The 16,505-nt window shown below is 37.2% G+C and overlaps 1 long non-coding RNA gene across 3 annotated transcripts in view; it reads right to left on the minus strand.

Annotated features, from left to right (window-relative positions):
• Positions 1-16,505, minus strand: part of LOC105374235 (uncharacterized) — a 221,596-nt gene that overhangs the window by 193,732 nt on the left and 11,359 nt on the right. For all 3 annotated transcript variants that reach the window (NR_188692.1, NR_188690.1, NR_188691.1), the window contains exon 2: positions 14,322-14,390. This is a non-coding gene — a long non-coding RNA (uncharacterized LOC105374235). The remainder of the gene's footprint in view (positions 1-14,321; positions 14,391-16,505) is intronic.

Genomic DNA, 16,505 nt, shown 5'->3' on the forward strand with positions numbered 1-16,505 from the left:
TGAAGAAATCCAAAATCTGAACAGATCAATAGCAGTAAGAATATTGAATCTGTAATAAAAACTCTTTCATCAAAGAAAAGCCCAAGACCAGATGGCTTCATGACTGAATTGTAACAAATATTTAAAGAACAAGTACTAATCCTTCTTAACCTCTTCCAAAACATTGCAGAAGAGAAAGTACTTCCAAACTTATTTTGCAAATCATTATTACCCTGACACTTAACTCAGAAAAGAATACAAAAAATAAAAATAAAAACTACAAGCCGATATCCTTGATGAAGATAGATGCAAAAAACCACAAGATCATCTCAATAGATGCAGAAAGAATAATTTGACAAAATTCAACATTTTATTATAAAAACTCTCAATAAATTAGGTATAGAAAAATTCCTCTCAACACAATAAAGGCTATATATGACAAATCCACATCTAACATCACACTCAATGTTGAAAAGTTGAAGATTTCTTCTCTGAGATCATGAATAAGAAACAAACACCCACTTCCACCGCTTCTATTCAATATAGTATTAGAAGTCCTAATCAGAGCAATTGGCCAAGAAAATAAATTACGTCTACATAGGAAGAAATGAAATTGTCTCTGTTTGTTGATGACATGATCTTATATAGAGAAAATTCTAATGATTCTACAAAAAAACTGAGAGAACTGATAAAGGAATTTGGTAAAGTTGCAGGATATGAAATCAACCTATAAAAATAAGTAGCTTTTCTATACAAACAGACTGTCTGAAAAAGAAATTAAGAAAACAATCTCATTTACAATACATTTACAATAGCATCAAGAATAAAATACTTAGGAGTAAGTATTTTAAAGAGGTGGAAAATTCATATACAGAAAACTATAAAACATTGATAAAAGAAATTGAAAAAGATACAAATAAATGGAAAGATATTCTATGTTCATAGATTGAAAGAATTAATATTGTTAAAATAGTCATACTGCCATAAGCAGTGTATACATCCAATGCAATCCCTGTCAAAATTTTAATGTCATTCTTCACAGAAATAGAAAAAACAATCCTAAAACTCATATGGAACCAAAAAATTCCTGAATAGCAAAGCCATCTTAAGCTAAAAGAAGAAAGTTGGAGTCATCAGACTACTGGATTTCAAAATATATTACAAAGCTGTAGTAACCAAAAAGCATGGCACTGGCATAAAAACAGACACATGGATCAATGGAATGCAACAGAGAGCCCAGAAAAAAAATTCCACTGAATATCCACATAACAGAAGAATAAATACAGACCCTTATCTCACTGCTTAAAAAAAAAATAGACTCAAAATCACTTAAACATAAGCACTGAAATAGTTAAACTACTAGGAGAAAACATAGGGGAAAAGCTCTATGACATTGGTCTGGGCTGCAATTTCTTGGTGATGTTCCCCAAAACACAGGCAACAAAAGCAAAAATAAACTAGTAGGATTGCATCAAATTTAAAAACTTCTGCGTACCAAAGCAAACAATTAACAGAGTAAAGGGATAATCCACAGACTGAGAGAAATATTTGTAAGTCATACATTGGATTAAGGGCTGATATCCAAAATGTACAAAGAACTCAGAGTACTCAGCAACAAGAAAATAATAACCATATTAAAAAATGTGCAAAGTACTTGAAAAGACATTTCTCAAAAGAAGACATGAAAATGTCCAACAGATATATAACAAAATGCTCAACAAGTCTAATCAGAGAAATGCAAATTGAAATCACAATAATATATCACCGCATAACTGTTTTCATGCTAGGGTCAGGGGAGTGGATGTTGAGTAGGAAAATAGATGTTAATAATCAAAGGGTACAAAGTTTCAGCTAGGCAGGGAGGAATAAGTTCTGGTGACCTATTGGACAGCATGGTAAGTGCAGTTAATAGTAATGTATTGTATATTTCAAAATAGCTAAAAGAATTTTAAATGTTCTCACCACAAAGCAATGATCAATATTTGTGGTAATGAATATGTTAATTATCCTGATTTGATTATTCCACAATGTATATATACTTGTATTAAAACATCACATTGTATCCCCTAAATATATACAATTATTATATGTCAATAGAAAACAAAATAAAACTTTTTCTTAAAAGAAGTGTTGACCGGGCGCAGTGGCTCACGCCTGTAATCCCAGCATTTTGGGAGGCCAAGGTGGGTGGATCACCTGAGGTCAGGAGTTAGAGACCAGCCTCAACATGGAGAAACCCTGTCTCTACTAAAAATACAAAATTAGCTGGGCGTGGTGGTGCATGCCTGTAAACCCAGCTACTCAGGAGGCTGAGGCAGGAGAAGTGCTTGAACCTGGGAGGCGGAGGTTGCAGCGAGCCGAGATCACGCCATTGCACTCCAGCCTGGGCAACAAGAGCGAAACTCCGTCTCAAAAAAAAAAAAAAAAAGAAGTGTTATGAAAACAAGAGATAAAATGATGAACAGGCTTAAGCTCAAAGAAGGAGTCAGATTACTTCCTGCCAGCAGACTCAGGGAAAGTTATCTTTATTTAAAAGATACTGTAGCCACACTTTATTGACTTTGTTCCCTCCAGGTTTTCATTCTTAATCAAGGAATGAATCTGTCCTCAAAATAAGCCCAGAAAATATCTCCCACCAGGACATAAAAAGCAGGAAGAGGTTTTTTTGGAGGATGTTATAGTGTTAGTAAGGGGTCATATCAAATCATTGGTTTTAAACATTTTCTAAAAGCATCTTGGCCTAGAGTAAATAAGAATGAGGCAGTGTAAGGCAGAAAAACACATAACTTTCTCAGGCTTATAAATAAGGGCTCAGAGCAAGAGAAGTTATTAAGAACTGAAAGAAGCTGTCTAGGCTTTTCTTTAAAAAAAAAACAAACGTCAATTCTGGCACAAGGAAACATATTATCCTTTCATTCAGAGAATGACATAGAATGATATTTCCTGTCTATGTATTGAATTTATTTTGCTTTCTTAATGTAGGGTCTCTCAGTACGTGGTTTCACATTTGTTTATGCTCATGTAGCCAACTGTGCATTGCTACAAAAAGGAATCCTAGGTCTTAGAAAAAAAAGAAGCAATTTTGTTCCTCCAAAATGTAAATTCCTAAACAATTTACTATTCCCTAAAATATAAAATTTGAATGAAAATATTTCTTTTAAGATTTTGTAAAAGGCTTGTAATAGTTATCACACAAGCAGCTAAACAAAATGGAGCTCTGTTTACAGAGCACAATCACTGTAACAAGCTGAGCAGCAGAAATGTCAGAAATCGCTATCCTTTCATCTCCAGTCCTGTTTTGATGAGTTTAAAAAAAAAATAGCAAATCAAACTAGTATCCAAAGTCTCATAAAAAAAATCAAATGTGGTAGCCAAAATGATATTATAGAATCCATTTTTGGATTCCTGGGCAAGATGGCCGAATAGGAACAGCTGCAGTCTGCAGCTCTCAGTAAGATCAATGCAGAAGGTGGGTGATTTCTGCATTTCCAACTAAAGTACCTGGTTCATCTCACTGGGACTGGTTAGACAGTGGGTTCAGCCCATGGAGGGCAAGCAGAAGCATGGTGGGGCATTGCCTCACCTGGGAAGCACAAGGGATCAGGGAACTCCCTCCCCTAGTCAAGGGAAGCCTTGAGGGACCCTGCCATAAGGGACATGGCTATCTGGCCCAGATACTATGCTTTTCCCATGGTCTTTGCAACCCACAGACCAGACGATTCCGTTGGGTGCCTACACCACATGGGCCCTGGGTTTCAAGCACAAAACTGGGTGGCCATTTGGGCAGACACTAAGCTAGTGCAGGAGTTTTTTTGGACCCCAGTGGCACCTGGAATGCCAGCAAGACAGAACCCTTCACTCCCTGGAAAGGGGACTGAAGTCAGGGAGCCAAGAGGTCTTGCTCAGTGGATCCCACCCCCATGGAGCCCAGCAAGCTAAGATCCACAGGCTTGAAATTCTCGCTGCCAGCACATCAGTCTGAAGTCGATGTGGGATGCTCGACCTTGGTGGGGGGATGGGTGTCTGCCATTACTGAGGCTTGAGTAGGTTGTTTCCCCTCAGGGTGCAAAGAAAGCTGCCAGGAAGTTTGGATTGGGCAGAGCCCACTGCAGCACCACAAAGCCTCTGTAGCTAGACTGCCTCTCTAGAGTCCTCCTCTCTGGGAAGGCCATCTCTGAAAGAAAGGCAGCAGCCCCAGCCAGGTTATTTATAGATAAAACTCCCATCTCCCTCAGACAGAGCACCTGAGGAAAGGGGCAGCTGTGGGTGCAGCTTCAGCAGACTTAAATGTTCCTGCCTGCTGGCTCTGAACAGAGCAGCAGATCTCCCAGCATAGTGTTCGAGCTCTGCTAAGGGACAGACTGCCTCCTCAAGTGGGTCTCTGACCCCCGTGCCTCCTGACTGTGAGACACCTCCCAGCAGGGATCGACAGACACCTCATACAGGAGAGCTCCAGCTGGCATCTGGTGGGTGCCCCTCTGGGACAAAGCTTCCAGAGGAAGGAGCAGGCAGCAATCTTTGCTGTTCAGCAGCCTCTGCTGGTGATACTCAGGCAAACAGGGTCTGGAGTGTACCTCCAGCAAATTTCAGCAGACCTGCAGAAGAGAGGCCTGACTGTTAAAAGGAAAACTAAAAAGGAGAAAGCATTAGCATCAACATCAACAAAAAGGACGACCATGCAAAAACTCCATCTGAAGGTCGCCAACAGCAAAGACAAAAGGTAGATAAATCCATGAAGATGAGGAAAAACCAGCTCAAAAAGGGTGAAAATTCCAAAAACCAGCATGACTCTTCTCCTCCAAAGGATCACAACTTCTCACCAGCAAGGAAACAAAAGTGGACAGAGAATGAGTTTGATGAATTGACAGAAGTAGGCTTCAGAAGGTGGGTAATAAGAAACTTCTCTGAGCTAAAGGAGCATGTTGTAACCCAATGCAAGGAAGCCAAGAATATTGAAAAAAGGTTAGAGAAATTGCTAACTAGAATAACCAGTTTAGAAAAGAACATAAATTACACGATGGAGCTGAAAAACACAACATGAGAATTTTATGAAGCATACACAAGTATCAGTAGCTGAACTGATCAAGCAGAAGAAAGGATATCAGAGGTTGAAGATCAACTTAATGAAATAAAGCATGAAGACAAGATTAGAGAAAAAAAGAATGAAAAGGAATGAACAAAGCCTCCAAGAAATATGGGACTATGTGAAAAGACCAAACCTACATTTGATTGGTGTACCTGAAAGTGACAGAGAGAATGGAATCAAGTTGGAAAACACTATTCAGGATATAATCCAGGAGAACTTCCCCAACCTAGCAAGACAGACCAACATTCAAATTCAGGAAATACAGAGAACATCACAAAGATACTCCATGAGAAGAGCAACCCCAAGGCACACAATGGTCAGATTCACCAAGATTGAAATGAGGGAAAAAATATTAAGGGAAGCCAGAGAGAAAGGTTGTGTTACTGACAAAGGGAAACCCATCAGACTAACAGCAGATCTCTCTGCAGAAACCCTACAAGCCAGAAGAGAGTGGGGGCCAATATTCAACATTCTTAAGAAAAGAATCTTCAACCCAGAATTTCATATGCAGCCAAACTAAGCTTCATAAGTGAAGGAGAAATAAAATCCTTTACAGACAAGCAAATGTTGAGGGATTTTGTCACCACCAGACCTGCCTTACAAGAGCTCCTGAAGGAAGCACTAAATATGGAAAGGAAAAACCGGTACCAGCCACTGCAAAAACAAACCAAAATGTAAAGGCCATCAACACTATGAAGAAACTGCATCAACTAATGGACAAAGTAACTAGCTAGAATCATAATGAAAGGATCAAATTCACACATAACAATATTAACCTTAAGTGTAAATGGACTAAATTCCCCAATTAAAAGGCACAGACTGGCAAATTGGATAAAGAGTCAAGACCCATCGGTGTGCTATATTCAGGAGACCCATCTCACATGCAAAGACACATATAGGCTCCAAATAAAGGGGTGGAGGAAGATTTACCAAGCAAATCAAAAGCAAAAAAAAAAAAAAAAAAAAAAAAAAGAGCAAGGGTTGCAATCTTAGTCTCTGATAAAACAGACTTTAAACCAACAAAGAAAAAAAGACGAAGAAGGACATTAAATAATGGTAAAGGGATCAATGCAACAAGAAGAGCTAACTATCCTAAATATATACACACTCAATACAGGAGCAACCAGATTCATAAAGCAGTTTTTTAGAGACCTATTAAGAGACTTAAACTCCCACATATTAATACTGGGAGACTTTAACACCCCACAGTCAATATTAGTCAGATCAATGAGACAGAAAATTAACAAGGATATTCAGGACTTGAACTCAGCTCTGGACCAAGCAGACCTCATAGACATCTACAGACCTCTCCACACTAAATCAACATAATATACATTCTTCTCAGAACCACATAGCATTCATTCTAAAATCAACATCATTATTGGATGTAAAACAATCCTCAGCAAATGCAGAAGAATGGAAGTCATAACAAAGAGTCTGTCAGACCACAGTGCAATCAAATTAGAACTCAGGATTGAGAAACTCACTCAAAACTGCACAACTACGTGGAAACTGAACAACCTGCTCCTGAATGACTACTGCATAAATAACAAAATTAAGGCAGAAATAAATAAATTTTTTGAAACGAGTGAGAACAAAGACACAACATACCAGAATCTATGGGGCACAGCTAAAGCAGAGTTTAGTGGAAAATTTATAGCACTAAATGCCCACATCAGAAAGCAGGAAAGATCTAAAATCAACACCATAACATCACAATAGAAAGAGATAGAGAAGCCAAGAGCAAATAAATTCAAAAGCTAGCAGAAGGCCAGAAATAACTAATATCAGAGCAGAACTGAAGGAGATAGAGACATGAAAAACACTTCAAAGAATCAATGCATTCAGGAGCTGGTTTTTTGAAAAGATTAACAAAATAGATAGACCACTAGCCAGACTAATAAAGAAGAAAAGAGAGAAGAATCTAATAGACACAATAAAAAATGATAAAGGGGATATAAACACTGATCCCAGAGAAATACAGACTACCATTAGAGAATGCTATAAACACCTCTAAGCAAAAAAACTAGAAAATCTAGAAGAAATGGATAAATTCCTGGACACATACACCCTCATAAGACTAAACCAGGAAGAGGTCAAATCCCCAAATAGATCAATAGCCAGTTCTGAAATTGTGGCAGAAATTAATAGCTTACCAACTGAAAAAAGCCCAAGACCAGGCAGATTCACAGCCGAATTCTACCAGAGTTACAAAGAGGAGTTGGTTCCATTCCTTCTGAAATTATTCCAAACAATAGAAAAACGGGACTCCTCCCTAATTCATTTTAAGAGGCTAGTATCATCCTGATACCAAAACCTGGCAAAGACACAACAAAAAAAGAAAATTTCAGGCCAATATCCCTGATGAACATCGATGAGAAAATCCTCCATAAAATACTGGCAACCCAAATCCAGCAGCACATCAAAAAGCTTATCCACCACGATTCAGTCGGCTTCATCTCTGGGATGCAAGTCTGTTTCAACATACACAAATTAACAAATGTAATCCACCACATAAACAGAACCAAGGACAAAAAACACATGATTACCTCAATAGATGCAGAAAAGGCCTTCCATAGAATTCAACATCCCTTCATGCTAAAAACACTCAATAAAGTAGGTATTGATGGTATTATCTCAAAATAATAAGAGCTATTTATGACAAACCTACAGCCAATATCATACTGAATAGACAAAACCTGGAAGCATTCCCTTTGAAAACCAGCACAAGACAGGGATGCCCTCTTTCACCACTCCTATTTAACATAGTATTGGAAGTTCTGGCCAGGGCAATCAGGCAAGAGAAAGAAATAAAGGGTATTCAGATAGGAAGAGAGGAAGTCGAATTATCTCTGTTTGCAGATGACATGATTGTATATTTAGAGAACCCCATCGTCTCAGCTCAAAAACTCCTTAAACTGATAAGCAATTTCAGCAACGTCTCAGGATCCAAAATCAATGTGCAAAATTCACAAGCTTTCCTATACACCAATAATAGACAAACAGAAAACCAAATCATGAGCAAATTCCAATTCACAATTGCTACAAAGAAAATAAAATACCTAGGAACACAACTTTCAAGGGATGTGAAGGACCTCTTCAGGGAGAACTACAAAACACTGCTCAAGGAAATAAGAGAGGACACAAACAAATGGAAAACTCATTTCTTCCTATCCATGCTTATGGATAGGAAGAATCAATATTGTGAAAATGGCCATACTACCCAAAGTAATTTATAGATTCAATGCTATTCCCATCAAGCTACCATTGACTTTCTTTACAGAAATAGAAAAAAACTACTTTAAACTTCATATGGAACCAAAAAAGACAATCCTACGCAAAAAGAACAAAGCTGGAGGCATCACACTACCTGACTTCAAACTATGCTACAAGGCTACAGTAATCAAAACAGCATGATACTGGTACTAAAACAGACACATAGTAGACCAATGGAACAAAACAGAGTTCTCAGAAATAACACCACACGTCTACAACCATCTGATCTTTGAAAAACCTGACAAAACAAGAAATGGGGAAAGGATTCCCAATTTAATAAATGGTGTTGGGAAAACTGGCTAGCCATATGCAGAAAACTGAAACTAGACTCCTTACTTACACCTTATACAAAAATCAACTCATTATCAAGTAAAGATTTAAACATAAGATCTAAAACCATAAAAAAACCCTAGAAGGAAACATAGGCAATACCATTCAGGACATAGTTATGGGCAAAGACTTCATGACTAAAATGCCAAAAGCAATTACAACAAAAGCCAAAATTGACAAATGGGAACTAATTAATCTAAAGAGCTTCTGCACAGCAAAAGAAACCGTCATCAGAGTGAACAGGCAACTTACAGAATGGGAGAAAATTTTTGCAATCTATCCATCTGACAAAGGGCTAATATCCAGAATCTACAAGGAGCTTAAACGAATTTACAAGAAAAAAAAAACTCCATCAAAAACTGGGCAAAGGATATGAACAGACACTTTTTAAAGGAAGAGATTTATGCGGCCAACAAACATGAAAAAAAAAAGCTAATCATCACTAGTCATTAGAGAAATGCAAATCAAAACCACAATGAGATACCATCTTACCCCGGTTAGAATGGTGATCATTAAAAAGTCAGGAAACAACAGATGCTGGGGAGGATGTGGAGAAATATTAACACTTTTACACTGTTGGTCAGAGTATAAATTAGTTCAACCATTGTGGAAGACAGTGTGGCAATTCCTCAAGGATCTAGAACTAGAAATACCATTTGACCCAGCAAACCTATTATTGGGTATATACCCAAAGGATTATAAATCATTCTACTGTAAAGACACATGCACACATATGTTTACTGCAGCACCATTCATAATAACAAAGACTTGGAACCAACCCAAATGCCCATTAACGTTAGACTGGATAAAGAAAATGTGGCACATACACACCACGGAATACTACACAGCCATAAAAAAGAATGAGTCCATGTCCTTTGCAGGGACATGGATGAACCTGGAAACCCTCATTCTCAGCAAAATAACACAGGATCAGAAAACCAAACATCACATGTTCTCATTCATAAGTGGGAGTTGAACAATGACAACATATGGGTACAGGGAGGGAAACATCACAAACCCAGGTCTGTCGGGGGCTGGGGACTAGTGAAGGGATAGCGTTAGAAGAAATACCTAATGTAGATGTCGGGTTGATGAGTGCAGCAAACCACCATGGCAACATGTATGCCTATGTAACAAACCTGCACGTTCTGCACATGTATCCTAGAACTTAAAGTATAATAAAAAAGAATCCTTTCTTGCATTTTTATTAAATTTTACATAAAACTATTCAGAATCCAGACTTACTGCTATCTACATTTTAAATCATACAAATGCTATTGTGTGTGAGAGTGTGCTTGCACACAGAGGGGCAGCCTAAAAAAGCCATATTCCTCATAACAAATGGTGCTATGAATTCTTAAATGAATGTAAATAAGGATTTATGTTGATATATCTGTGGTCCAAAAACCCTACTGCGTTGTTACCCCATAGATTTAAATGCTGTAGCAATCAATTCATCTAGTACAAAGAATAAAGCATTCTACTATTTCTCAGAGTTTCCTTCTGCTCTCTCACATTTTTTAAAGGCTATTAATTGATAGTGTAAGATTTTTCTTCATTAATAGAATATGGTTTATTCTAATGGTCATTATAGTGAAGATACTCTGCAATGAGGCTGTTAAAAGAGGGTATGGCACACATCTGGCAATGCTTGCTTCATTCCCTGTGAGCATCAAGCAACTGTCATCCTGCTAAATGAGTTGTCATTAGCAGTCAGATTTTTATTGCAGCCTTTTGGAGAAACACAGAAAGAAATCTAACTTTGAAGTAATGTCTATTGGAAGAGCTTTAATAGAGATGGAGTCTTAGTAAATCCCTTCTCTGATGTTCCCCATCCTAATATATTAGTAGTCTTTCTAAAATGGGAAGGTATTTGGCATGGGACTGGTGACCTAAAATTACCTCTGAAATCTGGCAAGGTATTTCAACACTGGCATGAATATTGTTTCCTCTCAGCCAGCATTTTTGGCAGGCATCTTATGCGTTGCAAGTACCTACCAAAAATGGGAATTAGATAAGGTGACTTGCAGATATGAATTAGCAATGGTTTCCTTTATTCAGGTTGGAATTTTCATAAGAAATTATGGTCTTAGCTTTCTTAGTCTTCCTTTGTAGTTACACTATGGCAATTTCAAAATTTTCCCTGAAGACAGACCTTATTGTACTAACAGATTTTCAACCTCCAGATAACTCCCTTCCTCCCTCCCTCCCTTCCTCCCTCCCTCCCTTCCTCCCTCCCTCCCTTCCTCCCTCCCTCCCTTCCTTCCTTTTTCCTCCCTTCCTCCCTTTCCTTCTTTCTTTCTTTCTTTCTTTCTCTTTCCTTCCTTCTTTCTTTCTTTCTTTCTTTTTTCTTTCTTCGTTTCTCTCATATAAATAGTACATCTTCATGTGCCCATATTTCATTTTATCATGCCAAAATTTATATTTTTCTCGTTTACTGTGTTTCTACTGAACTCTCAAATTTGTACTAAATGAGGAAGTGGTTGAACTTTTCAGAGACAAAACGTTATCATTTCATTAACTCAAAAAACATTAATTAGATCCCTATGAGGGCAGTTGTTTCCAACCTGAAATTCTTTGCTACCTAAGGGTTCCCAAAGATATTAATAGAAATCTGAAGTTACTTTAAATATTTCAGAAATTTAATTAGCTATAATTTGTATTTGCACATAATGAGACTGTATAGGCTAACTAAAATGGCAACTTTCTTTGCTTTGGCTAAAGTTATATCACACCTTTGATAATCCCAAGGTGATCCCAGAAACTTCACTTCATGGATACATCATAGTATATAATATCTCCTGAAGTGATATATATTATATCTAAAAATGAACGGCACCCCTACATATCCTTATTTTTTTAGCTCCAGACTATAGCTATTAACATAAGTTCTCATACGTACACACGCACCCAAAAACCTATAAATCATATTGCCACAGCATACTCAGGATAATAATGCTAACCTCAAATACAATGAATGTGTGAAAAAATAAAGTTTTTAATCCCTTTATAAGAGTCATCAAATGGTTAGTGAAGAGTATAGTTCAACATTGCTGCCTGGAGATGAGAACTGGGCAGACACCCAGGCTCCCTACCAGCTCATTCATCAACTCCATTACATTCAAAGCAAATACAAATCTGGGTGAAATGACTGTCACTGTGTCATGTACCTCCATGAGTGTTTAAACCTTCAGAGGCCAATGCTCTGCTATAGTTCAAGTCACACATACCACTGTTTATCTCAGACTGAGGATGGGCTCTTATTGGCATGTACACACACTTTTTTTAAAAAAGTGAGGAAATTATACTAAATAAATGCAACTTGAACGAAATCTTTCAAAATATAAAATCCATTGATGAGGGGTTGGGAATAACAAAAGGAGGCTTGGAAGGTGGAAAGTGTAACATTTAGCATTTTTGTGTTTTGTCTTGCTACAGTGGAATACCACATAGTGAGTAATTTATAATAAACAGAAATTTATTAGCTCACATTTCTGGAAGTTGGGAACTCCAAGATCAAGGCACTGGTGTCTGGAGAGGGCTTTTTTTCTCTTTTATCCCACGGTAGAAGGGCAAACAGAAGGGGTGTGTGTGTGAGAGAGAGAGAAAGAGGGAGAGAGAGAGAGCACACAAGCAAAAAGAGGGCCAAACTCATCCTTTTATAGATAAGCCCTCTCCCATGATAACAAACCCACTCCTGCAATAGAAGCACTAATCCTTTTATGAGGGCAGAGCCCTTATGAACTAATCACTTCTTATTCGGGTCCATCTCCCAACACTGTTGCATTGAGGATTAAGTTCCAACATATACTTTTTATGTTTTTGTTCGTTTTGTCAAAGATTAGTTGGCTGTAAGTATTTGAGTTTACCTCTGGGTTCTTTATTCTGTTCCCTTGTCTATGTAGCTATTTTTATACCCATACCATGCTGCTTTGGTGACTATGGCTTTATAGTGCATTTTGAAATCAGGTAATGTGATGCCTCCAGATGTGTTCTTTTTGCTTAGTCTTGCTTTGGCTATGTGGGCTCTTTTTTGGTCCCATGTGAATTTTAGAATGTTTTTCTCTAATTCTGTGAAGAATGACATTGGTATTTTAATGGGAATTGTGTTGAATTTGTAGATTGCTTTTGGCAGTATGGTCATTTTCACAATATTGATTCTACTCATCCATGAACATAGGATGTGTTTCCATTTGTTTGTGTCGTCTATGATTTCTTTCAGCAGTGTTTTGTAGTTTTCCTTGTAGATGTCTTTCACCTCCTTGGTTAGGTATATTCCTAAGTATTTTATTTTATTTTATTTTTTTGCAGCTGTTGTAAAAGAGGTTGAGTTCTTGATTTGATTCTCAGCTGGTCACTGTTGGTGTATAAAAGAGCTACTAATTTGTGTACCTTAATTTTTTATCCAGAAACTTCGCTGAATCCTTTTATCAGTTCTAGGAGCTTTCTGGAGGAGTTTAGGGTTTTCTAAGTAAACAGTCGTATCATCAGCAAACAGCAACAGTTTGACTTCCTCTTTACGGATCTAGACCCCCTTTATTTCTTTCTCTTGTCCAATTGCTCTGGCTAGGACTCCCAGTACTATGCTGAAGAGGAGTGGTGAGAGTGGGCATCGTTGTCTTGCTCCAGTTGTCTGAGGGAATGCTTTCAACTTTTCCCCCTTCAGTATTACGTTGGCTATGGGTTTTTCATAGATGGCCTTTATTACATTGAGGTATGTCCCTTTTATGCCAATTTTGCTATGAGTTTTAATCATAAAGCAATGCTGGATTTTGTCAAATGCTTTTTCTGCATCAATTGAGATGATCATGTAAGTTTTTGTTTTTAATTCTTTTTATGTGGTGTATCACATTTATTGACTTGCGTATCTTAAACCATACCTGCATCTGTGGTATGAAACCCACTTGATCGTGGTGGATTATCTTTTTGAAGTGTTATTGGATTCAGTTAGCTAGTATTTTGTTAAGGATTTTAGCATCTATGTTCATCAGGGATATTGGTCTGTAGTTTTCTTTTCTGGTTATGTCCTTTCCTGGTTTTGGTATTAGGGCAATACTGGTTTCATAGAATGATTTAGGGAGGGTTCCCCCTTTCTCTATCTGGTGAAATAGTGTCAATATGATTGGTACCAATTCTTCTTTGAATGTCTGTTAGAATTCTGCTGTGAATCTGTCTAGTCCTGGACTTTTTTTTGTTGATAATTTTTAAATTACTATTTCAATCTTGCTGCTTGTTATTGGTCTGTTCAGGATATCTAATTCTTCCTGATTTAAGCTAGGGGGGTTGTATCTTTTGTCTGTAGGAAGCTAATAAAAACTACCCTGTCCATGGGAGAAAGGAAAGGAAAGGCAATGTGGAAGAGTGTAAAGTGTATGGAATCTGAACCTACTTCAATTTGAGCTCAAATCCCACCTTCATTATTCATTATTTACTGGCAGTTTGACAAGCTATTAATTGATCACAAGTCTAGTTTCTCTGAGATAGAATGTTCCCTGGTATACTTCTCTGTTGATACATAAATGACACTTAGTCTCTGTGCTTTTTCTTACTCTGTATTGTCGTAGAGTTTGGTGCTTGCCTCTGTTTCTGCAGCTACATCATATTATGCTTTTATGTGTTTATTCATAATATTCATTTATCAAGCACTTACTTGGTGTGCTAGGCCAGTTCCAGATGCAGGAGAAATTCACACAATGCCTGCTTTCATGGAACTTAGAATCTAACAGAAAAAGAGAGATGATAAAAATAAATACATAATAAATATTTAAATAAAAATCATAAGATTGTATCAGTTATATCTAAAGAATTAAAGCGTGTAGTAGAGAGCAACTTGCAAGCTACTTTAGACTCAAGGTTAGGAAAGGCTTTTCTGAGGGAGTGAAGTTTAACCTGAAATAAATTACAAAAAGGATCTAGCCTTACAAATATTGAGGGAAAGGGGGACCCAGGCTGAGGAAAGAGCTAGGACAAAGGTGCCGGGTTTTCCCTGCTAAACCATGAGTTCCACCTCAGTCCATTTTTATGTGTTTCTGAATGCTCCCATGTTGCATTTTAACATATTACTTTATTTCTATGTAGCACTAGCTATTACTGCAGTAATGCTGTATAACAACCATACGATTTCCCTGCTTAAAACTCTTCAGTAAATTCTTCTCATTGGACTTAGAATAAAATCCAGAATATAAAGTAGAAGCTCCATGACAATAAGAGTAACATATGTCTGGTTTGCCACAATGTCTCCAGCACAGGTTTTGGTGTCTGATAAGAAGTAAATTCTTGCGCTTGTAGAATAACAAGAAACAAGTATGTGAATGAAACTGAGCTCTGTATCGCAGCCCATCAATCTCCTCAAGGGCTTGCAACCCACTTTCTCCTTCAAACCAGTCTCTTACTAGTACTGGCCCTTTGCCATTCAGCACATGCATTTTTCCCACCTGAAAAACAAAACTAACAGTAACAACAACAACAATAACAAAACCTTTCCTTTGGCCCCTTTAGCTGCCAACCCTCCTCCTTCTCAAGTGTCATAACTTCACTTGTCATCCACACTCAGAATATCATTTCTACCCACAGTTTTCAAGTTATCATAACATACATAACTGCCAAAAATCAATGGACTATTTTTTTTTCTCATCTTACTAGACTGCTGGACTTCCTTTGGTGCTGTTAATCTCCTTTTTCTGTAAAGTCTCTCTTTCCTAAGCTTCTAGTTTTCCTTTCTCCAGTCACCTCTTATCTTCCTCATGGGCTGTTTACTTCTCATCTTCCCACCCCAACTGGTTTACCCTTACCACTCTGTTTCTTTTACTATATGATAAGCCCTAAAGAAATAACCCAAACTCATGGCTATAATTAATACCTATATAATTATGACCCTATGATTTATCATTACCCCAGATATCTTAAAGTTCCATATAATAATGGCCATTATTTATTGATTGTTCATTATTACATGGGAACTCTGCTACGAACTTTAAACATGTGGTTTAATTCCTCAATGCCTTTTGAAGTAGAAATATGATGATTTTCATTTTATACAGGAGGAAACAAGGTCTTATACAGTTTAAATGAATTGCTCAAGGCCACACAAATAGTGGCATATCTGGGATTTGAATTCGGGCTGCTAGACTCCATGATTTTGATCACTATATTATATTGCTTCATATACAAGATTTATTTAAGTTGATTATTTTCAAGTATCTTAATTGCAAATTATGTTGAGCATAATTCATCAAGATCCAAACTGACTTTCATATATCAAACTGAGAAGCCTTTCCTAAAAATATGCTCTCTTCCTAGAAAACTGTATGTTTTACTCTTCTTTCTAAATTGCATATCTGTACATCTCTTCAGGAAGCTTCTCCTGGAAGAAGAAACTTCAGGATAAAAGAAAATATACGAAAGCACAAAATGTGTCTTCTTTGATCAATGGTTCAAGGATAAGACTTCAGTCTGATATTTTTGTTCTGTTTAGCTTTGTTTTACCCGGCTTTTGATTAATGCTTGAGTAGACTCTTTGCACCAGGAAATCGTGGATGACCAGTTTACTAATAGCTAGGTTTCTTTTCTCTAAGAGTCTAGATGAGACAGACAGAGGTGTAGCCAGATTATTAGACAAACAGATCAAACAATGAAATGTCTAAAGGCTGGAGGCAAAAAACAAAAACAAAAGCTAAAACAAACTAAAAAACAACTGAAAAACAGATGATGGCCAAGGACATGGGTATACAATCAGATTATTTGTGCTCTCTATCCATCTTGCAACTTGTCCTTGGGAAAATTATTTAAACAAACTAGCCTCATAGTTCTCATACATAAAATAAAAATAACTGAA

The sequence above is a fragment of the Homo sapiens genome, chromosome 3 (genome assembly GCF_000001405.40).
Source record: "Homo sapiens chromosome 3, GRCh38.p14 Primary Assembly".
Taxonomy (NCBI): domain Eukaryota; kingdom Metazoa; phylum Chordata; class Mammalia; order Primates; family Hominidae; genus Homo; species Homo sapiens.